The sequence below is a fragment of the Homo sapiens genome, chromosome 3 (assembly GCF_000001405.40).
Source record: "Homo sapiens chromosome 3, GRCh38.p14 Primary Assembly".
In the NCBI taxonomy this organism is placed as follows: Eukaryota; Metazoa; Chordata; class Mammalia; order Primates; family Hominidae; genus Homo; species Homo sapiens.
The window spans coordinates 125722555-125732938 of NC_000003.12; the positions used below are offsets into that span (position 1 = coordinate 125722555).

At 44.9% G+C, this 10384-nt stretch overlaps 1 pseudogene; it reads left to right on the top strand.

The window, feature by feature from the left end:
- On the top strand, positions 1880 to 3050 carry OR7E93P (olfactory receptor family 7 subfamily E member 93 pseudogene; annotated as a pseudogene).

Here is a 10384-nt window from a genome sequence, read left to right on the forward strand (position 1 = left end):
AGCAACGAGATCACAGAGGGGGTGTACACACCCTGCGACATTGGAAGTAATATGATCCTCTCCCCACCTGGATACTGGGAAAGATACCACAGCGCGGGCAAACCTTTCCTACGCTGTTGGGAGTAATATCATTCTTTTCCTTTCTGGATATTAGGAAGAATATCACGGGGTGCTGTACAATTACTTTGATATCGGCAGTAATATCATGCTCTATTTTCCTGGATATTGCGCACAAAAACACAAAAGGGTGTACAACCCGAGCGATATTGGGAGTAGTAGCATACTCTCCTTCCCTGGATGTCAGAAAACAATATCATCAGGGCTGAACACCCCCCACGATAATGGGAGTCATGTTTACTCTTTCACAGGCCATTTGGATTAATATCACAGGGGGTGTTTACAAACAGGGGTGGTGTACACCCCCTGTGATATTGGGAGTAACATCATTCTCTCCACCTCCGGATATTAAGAACAATATCCCGGCGGGAGGTGGTACACCCCCAGTGATATTGCGAATAATGTCATCCTCTCCTTCCCTGGATATTAGGAACAATATCACAGGGGGGTGTACACCTTCTGTGATATTGGAAGCAATATCATCCTCTCCCCCGCTGGATATTAGAAAAAAATATCACTCACGGTGTACACCCACTGTAATATGAGGAGTAATATCTTCCTAGGGTACTACGAATAATTTCACAGTCTGTACACACATGGTGTACACTCACTGTGATATTAGGAGTAATATCTACCTAGTAGATAACAAATAACATCGCAGGGTGTACACCCACTTTGACATTAGCTGTAATATTTTTCTAAGTTGTTACAAATAAGATCACAGGGTGTACAAACATGGTTTACATTCACTGTGATATCAGGAGTCGTATCTCTGTAATATATTATGAATAATATCACAGGGTGTACACCCACTGTATTATTAGAAGTAATATCTCTGTAGGATATTACAATTAAGATCACAGGGTGTAGAGCCACGGTGATATTAGGAGCAATATTTTTCTAGGATATTACAAATAATATCACAGAGTGTACGCCCACTCTGCTGTCAGGAGGAATATCTCCCTAGGATATCAAAAATCCTATCACAGGGTGTGCAATCTCTGCCTTCCAGGTTCTAAGGGATTCTCCTGCTTCAGCCTCCCGAGTAGCTAGGGTTACCCGCCACTACGCCCGGCTGATTTTTTTTTTTTAATTTTCACTGGAAACGGGGTTTCACCACGTTGGCCAGGCTGGTCTGGAACTCCTGACCTCAGGTGATCCATCAGCCTCGGCCACCCAAAGTGCTGGGATTACAGGTGTGAGCCATGGTGCTTGGCCAAGAGTTCTATATTCAATTCATTTGGAAACACAGCTCCCATCTTTGAGTGTGCATGTACTTTTATGAAGAAATGATGTCAGAAAACCGAAGGATGATAATAAATATGAAAAGTAACAGGCATGTGAAAAGTTCTTCCGATTGAGAACTATAAGGTTCGATGTCGTTTTCAGATAATGGGGTCCTAGCTCTTGTGTCGTCCTTTTACATATTCTACACCAAAGGAAATTGTGGCACGGTGTCAGAATAAAGTAGAGTGTATTTCACGGCTTCTCAATTTCTTTCAATTAGACTGAGATCTTTTTCTTAAAGAGAGAAGGACATTGTCATTGCATTGTATTTTTTCTGAAAAGAGTAGGCCGTATTTTACTGAGATCACGGATTTGTTATATATGACGTTTCGGTCTTCTAACATTTTTCAGTGGATTTTCTCTAAAGTAGTATGTACAGAAAGCCTTGTACAGCAAAAAAGTAAATCACGTAATAATTCTGAGATTTTTGGAATTGTCACAGCTGAGAAACATTGCTGGCGGTGTATGGTCCGCAAGTGTGAAGATGTTCCTTGTGAATTGCTTGCATCCAGCATTAAGGGCTGGTTTTTATCTTTTATTTTTCCAATCCTCTTTCCTTCTCAAGGTGTCCAAGACACACAGAGCCACGGAATCTCACAGGTGTCTGAGAATTCCTCCTCCTGGGACTCTCAGAGGATCCAGAACTGCAGCCAGTCCTCGCTTTGCTGTCCCTGTCCCTGTCCATGTATCTGGTCACGGTGCTGAGGAACTTGCTGAGCATCCTGGCTGTCCGCTCTGAGTCCCCGCTCCACACAACCATGTACTTCTTCCTCTCCATCCTGTGCTGGGCTGACATCGGTTTCACCTCAGCCACAGTTCCCAAGATGATTGTGGACATGCAGTGGTATAGCAGAGTCATCTCTCATGCGGGCTGCCTGACACAGATGTCTTTCTTGGTCCTTTTTGCATGTATAGAAGGCATGCTCCTGACTGTGATGGCCTATGACTGCTTTGTAGGCATCTGTCGCCCTCTGCACTACCCAGTCATCGTGAATCCTCATCTCTGTGTCTTCTTTGTTTTGGTGTCCTTTTTCCTTAGCCTGTTGGATTCCCAGCTGCACAGTTGGATTGTGTTACAATTCACCATCATCAAGAATGTGGAAATCTCTAATTTTGTCTGTGACCCCTCTCAACTTCTCAAACTTGCCTGTTCTGACAGCGTCATCAATAGCATCTTCATATATTTTGGTAGTACTATGTTTGGTTTTCTTCCCATTTCAGGGATCCTTTTGTCTTACTATAAAATCGTCCCCTCCATTCTAAGGATTTCATCGTCAGATGGGAAGTATAAAGCCTTCTCCACCTATGGCTCTCACCTAGCAGTTTTTTGCTGATTTGATGGAACAGGCATTGGCGTGTACCTGACTTCAGCTGTGGCACCACCCCTCAGGAATGGTGTGGTGGTGTCAGTGATGTAAGCTGTGGTCACCCCCATGCTGAACCTTTTCATCTACAGCCTGAGAAACAGGGACATACAAAGTGCCCTGCGGAGGCTGCGCAGCAGAACAGTCGAATCTCATGATCTGTTCCATCCTTTTTCTGGTGTGGGTGAGAAAGGGCAACCACATTCAATCCCTACATCTGCAAATCCTGCCCCTTAGTCACATTATTTTTGTGGCTTGATGGCTTTTATTCCTTTCTGCATTTCCTTTGTGAATATTGCTTTCTTCGTTATGCCTTTAACTGGAATGGGTGAGGATTCTGGGATCCTTTGTTTAGCAGAAACCTCATGACAGAATCCTCTCTACCTAGGCGGCCTCTTTTAGTTTCTGAGCAATAACCCTGTCATCCAGGTGGAATCACTACCATCTTTTTATATACACGAAGTCCTCACTTCGTTTTGGAATTCCCTGAAAACTGACTTTATGGAAACAATGTACAGGAGGTCCTCCAACACCGTTGGTTGTTCAAAGTTGTGTAGTTATACTGTTGATGAAAAATAAGCGGTTTCACTATACATAATTTTGCTTCAAGTTGAAGTTTCCAAGAGACTTTCAAAGATGTTAAGTGAGGACATACTGTACATCAAATTCATATCCTCTTCCAGAGTTCCTGTGGAATTTCTTTATAAACTGCTTCTAGAGAATCTATTTAGGCAGGGTATGTGTAGAGATCCATGTCGCTGTTCCTCAATCTTGGCTTTGAGTCAAATCACCTGGGGAGCTTACACATGATGAGGCCTGGGTCTCAATACCCTAGATTCTGATTTCCTTGCACCTGTGTGAGTACGTGGATTTCTTTTTTTCTTTTAAAGCACCAGAGGTGGTTCCAACCACGAAGTTTTTAGAGGCATGAAGCTCCAATGAGTAAGAAGAGAAATTAATTGTAATATGCTTTCTTCAAATATTATCTTCAAAAGCATTGTCCATCAACACCATACAAATGTTTATTATGCTGTTTTTTCTTACCATTTCGCATTTTCTATTTCTTTCTTTTCCTTTTTTTTGAGTCAGAGTTTCGCTCTTGTTGCCCAGGCTGGAGTTCAATGGCACGGTCTCGGCTCACTGCAACCTCTGCCTCCCATATTCGAGCAATTCTTCTGTCTCAGCCTTCCAAGTAGCTGGGATTACAGGCATGCGCTACCATGCCTGGCTAATTTTATTTTTATTTATTTATTTATTTATTTTGTATTGTTAATAGAGACAGTGTTTCTCCATTTTGGTCAGGCTGGTCTTGAACTCCCGACCTCAGGTGATCCGCCCGCTTCCGCCTCCCAAAATGCTAGGATTACAGGCATGAGCGACCGCGCCCAGCCACCACTTAGCATTTACATTTTACATTTGTTGAAGTTATAGATTTATACACACATTGATTCCTGCTTTGTTATACACTTGCATATACATAAGATGGGAAATAGAAAAGAATAAAATGGGCACAGTATCCCTGAAGTTTCACATTCCGAGACATTTCAAAAATATTTGCCCTTCAAAAATTTGTTTCAATGAAGAAATTGTGGTATACACACCCAGTGAAGTATGATTCAGCCTAAAAAGGAAGAAACTCCTCTCCGCTGCAGACAAAATGGATGAGATTGCAGGTCTGTATATTAAATGAAAGAAGCCCGGCACAGAATGACAAATATTTCCTGTCCTCACTTCTATGTAGAAAGAAAAAAGGAAACCTTGGCCAGGTTTGGTGGCTCAGGCCTGTAATCCCAGCACTGTGGGAGGCCGAGTCGCACGGATCACTTGAGTCCAGGAGTTCGAGACCCGCCTGGCCAACATGGTGAAACCTCGTCTCTACGGAAAACACAAACAATTAGCCAGGCGTGGTGACGCGTGCCTGTAGTCTCAGCTACTCAGAGGGCTGAGGCCCAAGAAGCGCTTGAACTCGGGAGGCGGAGCTTGCAGTGAGCCCGGATTGTGCCTGTATACTCCAACCTGGGCAACAGAAAGAGACTCCATCACACACCTACACACAAAAGGAATCTCAAGAAGGTGGAAAGTATAAAGGTGGTTAGCACACGCTAGGAAGAAAAGGGGTGGGATAGGGAATGAAGACCAGTGGATAATTGGGTCCCGAAATACAGAAAGATGGAATAAGTGAGTTCTAGCGTTTGATAGTACAGTATGAAAATTTTAGTTCACAAGAATTTCTTGCATATTTCCAGATGTTTTGGTAAGAAGCTTCCTAACTTTCTCATTATGCTGGTTTTTAATCTCTTCTCTTTCTGCTCTTGAAGTCATGCTGGTTTTTTGTTTTTTGTTTTGAGATGGAGTTTCGCTCTTGTTGCCCAGGCTGGAGTGTCATGGTGCAATCTTGGCTCACTGCAACCTCTGCCTCCTGGGTTCAAGCAATTCTCCTGCCTCCACCTCCCGAGTAGCTGCGATTACAGGCATGCGCCAGCCCACCCAGCTAATGTTGTGTTTCTAGAAGAGAAGGGGGTTTCTCCCTGTCGGTCAGGCTGGTCTTCAACTCCTGACCTCAGGTGATCCGCCCGCCTCGGCCTCCCAAAGTGTTGGGATTACAGGCGTGAGCAACCGCGCCCGGCCCATGCTGTATCCTTATCTGTTGTCTGTTGTTGTTTGTTTGTTTTGGAGCCCAGAAATAACTTCTCACCTATATGTTCAAATGATTTTTCACATGAGTGCTAAGAAAGTCCATTGGTGGAAAAGCAGCCTTTTCAAGAAATGGTGTTGGAGAAACTTGATTTCCACATGCAGAAGAATGAAGGTGGACCCTATGTCACACCAGGTGGAAAAATTCACACAAACTGGATCAAAGACCTCACCCCAAGCGCTAAAAGTGTCATACGCCTTAAAGAAAACATTGGCCACGCTTTCATGACATCAGATTGGGCAATGTTCTCTGGGATATGACACCAAAAGCATAGGCAACAAAAGAAAATTATATTCCTTGGATTACATCTATATGACAGACACTTTTGTGCAGCAAAAAACACTGCGAACTGAGTGAAAAGATAACCCATGGATTAGGAAAAATACTTGCAAAGCACATATCTGAAAAGAGGCTGATATCCATCACATATAAAGAATGGCTAGAACTAAACAACAGGAAACCTAAAGCATCCCATCAACAATGGTCAGAAGACTCGAGTAGACGTGTTCCTAAAGAAGATATTGCAATGGCCAATAAGCATCTAAAATGATGTTCAACATCACTCATCCTAGGGAAGCACAAATCAAACCAAGAATGTGATACCACATATTAGGATGGATATGATAAACAAACAGGCATTGGTGAGACTAGAGGGAAGTAGGAATGCTCGATATGATCAGAGGGAATGTAAAACCGTGAAGGAACGGGGAAAATAGTATGGCGTCTACTGGAAAAATTAGTAACAGAATGATCAGATGTTCCCGCAGTTGCATTTGTGGGTACCTACCAAAAAGAATTAGAAGCCAGGAGTGGAAGACAGATTTGTGTACACCCATATTCATAGCAGCATTATTCACAACAGCCAAAATGTGGAAGCAACCCAAGGGTTCGTGGATAGATGAATGAAAAAGCACACTGCAGTTCCTTCATACAATAGAAGACTATTCAGCCTTGAAAAGGCAGACACTTCTGGCCGGTGCAGTGGCTCACGCCTGTAATAGCAGCGTCTTGGAAGACCGAGGTGGACGGATCACCTGAGGTCAGGAATTCAAGACCAGCCTGGCCATCTTGGTGAAACCCTGTCTCTACTCAAAATGCAAAAAAATGAGACGAGCGTGGTGGCGTGTGCCTATAGTCCCAACTACTCGGGAGGCTGAGGCACGAGAATGGCTGGAACCCGGGAGGCGGAGGTTGCAGTGAGCCCAGATTGTGCCACTACACTCCAGCCTGTGCGACAGAGTGAGACTCCATGGAAACACAAAACAAAACAAAGTCAAACGAACAAACAGACAAAAAACAGAGAGGCATTTCTGACGCAGGCCGCAACATGGATGAACCTTGAAAACATTATCGTCAGTGAAATAAATAAATCCCAAAAGGATAAACACGCCCAGGCTCAGTGGCTCGCACCTGTAACCCCAGCATTTTGGGAGGCTGAGCCAGGCGGATCACTTCAGGTCAGGAGTTCGAGACCAGCCTGGCCAATATGGTCTCTATTAAAAATACAAAAATTAGCTGGGTGTGGTGGCAGGCGCTTGTAATCCCAGCTACTCGGGAGACTGAGACACAAGAATCGCTTGAACCCACGATGTGGAGGTTGCAGTGAGGGGACATCACGCCACTGCACTCCGGCCGGGGTGACAGAGAATGACTCCGTTTCCAAAACAAAAAAATTAAACACGGTTTGGTTCCACTTATCTATCAAGTGTCTAGAGTAGTTAAACTCATAGAGTTGCAAACTAGAAAGGTGGCCCCCAGGGGTGGGCGAGAGAGAGGAGTGGAGAGCTTGGTGAATGGGTGCAATTTCCATTTTGAAAGATAAAACTGTTCCGGAGACGATGGCGGTGATGGTTGCTAAACAATGTGAACGTACTTAATGTCATGAAACTGTAAACTGAAAAAGCGTGGAAACTGTAAAGGTTTATACTGGCCGTTCTATATGAACTAATATATATTTATAATTTTTAATATTTATACGTGGTATATTTTCCCATAATAAAAGATGAAAATTAAAGCAGTTGGATGTTTAAAAAGAAAAGAAAGAAGCGAAGAATACACACCAGCTTTCTCCTGATTAGAGGAAGAGCCCCAAAGCTTCTATGGACACTCACTTTTCTCTTCTTCTTGCATTATTAGGAGGAAATCCTTAGAGGTTGGGGAACTTGGGTGACTTTGGCTAATAAGGAGCTCTGTGCCTTGAGCCCCCCAGGCCACAGAATAGTAAATAGTCAGTCTGTGCCTCCAGCCCTGCAGTGTGAGGTTCCAGTCCTGTGGGCTCCAATCCTGTCACTTGTATCAGGAGGCTCACGTCTCACCCTGTCTTCTTGCCAGCCTTGAGAACGGAGTCTGAGCCTCCATGGTGCACCACACAGGGAGGACAGTGGACCTGTTCTCCGTGGTCATGGCCCAGCAGAGGGGAAGGGCAGTTCAGTGAGTGTAGGGAAAAGAAAAAGAGATCAGACTCTTACTGTGTCTATGTAGAAAGGAAAGACATAAGAGACTCCATTTTGAGAAAGACCTGTACTTTCAACAACCGCTTTGCTGAGATGTTGTTAATGTGTAGCTTTGCCCCAGCCACTTTGACCCAACCTGAAGCTCACAAAAACATGTGTTGTATGAAATCAAGGTTTAAGGGATCTAGGGCTGTGCAGGACGTGCCTTGTTAAGAAGATGTTTCCAAGCAGTAGACTTGATAAAAGTCATCGCCATTCTCTAGTCTCAATAAACCAGGGGCACAATACACTGTGGAAAGACGCAGGGAGCCCTGCCCTTGAAAGCGGCATATTGTCCAAGGTTTCTCCCCATGTGATAGCCTGAAAAGTGGCCTCGTGGGAGGAGAAAGACCTGACCGTCCCCGAGCCGGACACCAGTAAAGGGTCTGTGCTGAGGTGGATTAGTCAAAGAGGAAAGCCTCTTGCAGTTGAGACAGAGGAAGGCCGCTGTCTCCTGCCTCCCCCTGGGAACTGAATGTCTCGGTATAAAACCCGATTGTACATTTGTTCAATTCTGAGATGGGGGAAAAACCGCCCTATGGTGGGAGGTGAGACATGTTGGCAGCAATGCTGCCTTGTTATTCTTTACTCCACTGAGATGTTTGGGTGGAGAGAAACATAAATCTGGCTTATGTACACGTCCAGTCATAGTACCTTCCCGTGAACTTCATGATGACATAGATTCTATTGCTCACATCTTCATTGCTGACCTTCTCCTTATTATCACCCTGCCCTCCTACTACATTCCTTTTTGCTAAAATAATAAAAATAATAATCAATAAAAACTGAGGGAACTCAGAGGCCAGTGCCGGTGCAGATCCTTGGTATGCTGAGCGCCGGTCACCTGGGCTCACTGTTGTTTCTCCATACTTTGTCTCTGTGTCTTATTTCTTTCCTCAGTCTCTCATCCCACCCGACTAGAAATACCCACAGGTGTGGAGGGGCAGGCCACCCCTTCAAGTGAGTGCTGAGGGACGGTCGGGAGCCTTGTTTGGTTTCCTCCTCCTCAGGACAAACAGGAGAGTGCGGTGGGCAGATGGGAGGAGACCACTGTGCAAATTATCCGCTCAGCAGACTGTGCAGTTTCTGTTCTTGGTTGTTCTTGGGGTCTCAGAAATCTTATTCAAAATTTTGCTTTCCTCCCCCACTGGTTGTCCTTTTCATAGACATCTCCCCCATGATAGCAGGCAATCAGTCCCTCTAAACTATTCCCTAAGAACAACAAAAAGATTATGAAGGTGATGATGAGGATAAAGAGGATGACGACAGACACCATGGCATCATGAACCCTTACTGAGGGCTTCCTAAAGGCCAGGCTCTGAGCTCTGTGCTCTATGCAGCTCGTTTCATTTCATCTGCCTAGTCTCCACGTTATTAGTGCACACTTCAGGATGATTTTACAGACTAGAAAAGGAGCAACGCCTTTTCAGATAACTCGTACTAGATCATGAAGTCAAAAAGGGTGAAGTCCAATTTGAACCAGGCAGTCTAAGTCCAGACACATGACATTTGGCCAGTCCTTTCCCTGCAACCAACCTGCCCTCTCAAATTCTCATCACTCAGGTGGATGCCCCTCCTCACTGTGCCCTTCCCTTTGGGGGTTCCTTGTAGACCACAGCTAGACCAGTGGGTGTACAATCACTGTGTCAAGTATGGAAAGGACAGCTGAGATCACATCGAGGATTCCAGAAAGAATTGGCACAGGATCATTCAGGACGCATCTCTCCCTTTCCCCTGTTCCTGGCTTTCCTTACAGCTCTCGACTTCCTCAAAGGAGTCATCAATTCGGAGTTTGGCTTCCATTCCTATTGAGCAAGCTGGAAAGCGTTTCAAAAATGCTCCTCTGATGTGCTTGTGGTTAAGACCTCTGAGCTCTGCTTAAAACTTTTGGAAGCTGGGAGCGGTGGTTCACGCCTGTAATCCCAGCCCTTTGGGAGGCTGAGGCAGGCGAATCACAAGGTCACGAATTCGAGACCAGCCTGGCCAACATGATGAAACCACGTCTCTACTCAAAATAGAAAAAAATGAGCCAGGCATAGTGGCGGGTGCCTGTCATCTCAGCTACTTGGCAGGCTGAGGCAGGAGAATAGCTTGAACCTGGGATGCAGAGGTTGCAGTGAGCCGAGATCACTCCACTGCACTCCAGCCTAGGCAACGGAACGAGACTCCATCTCAAAACAACAAAAACAAAAACAAAAACAAAAACAAAAACAAAAACCAAAGAAACCCACAACTTTTTGAGAGTTGGAAGACCAGGAAGTATAGCACCCGGGACTTCGAGTCTGGCCATGAATTTTGAATACCACGCTTTCTACTTCTCTGTATGGCAAGGGGTGAGACGTCCATCCTCTGAGACTCAGCACTCTCATCTGACTTGATTTCCAGTGGATGCGATGGAAGTGAGTGATGATTAAGCCGATCGTGGGTGC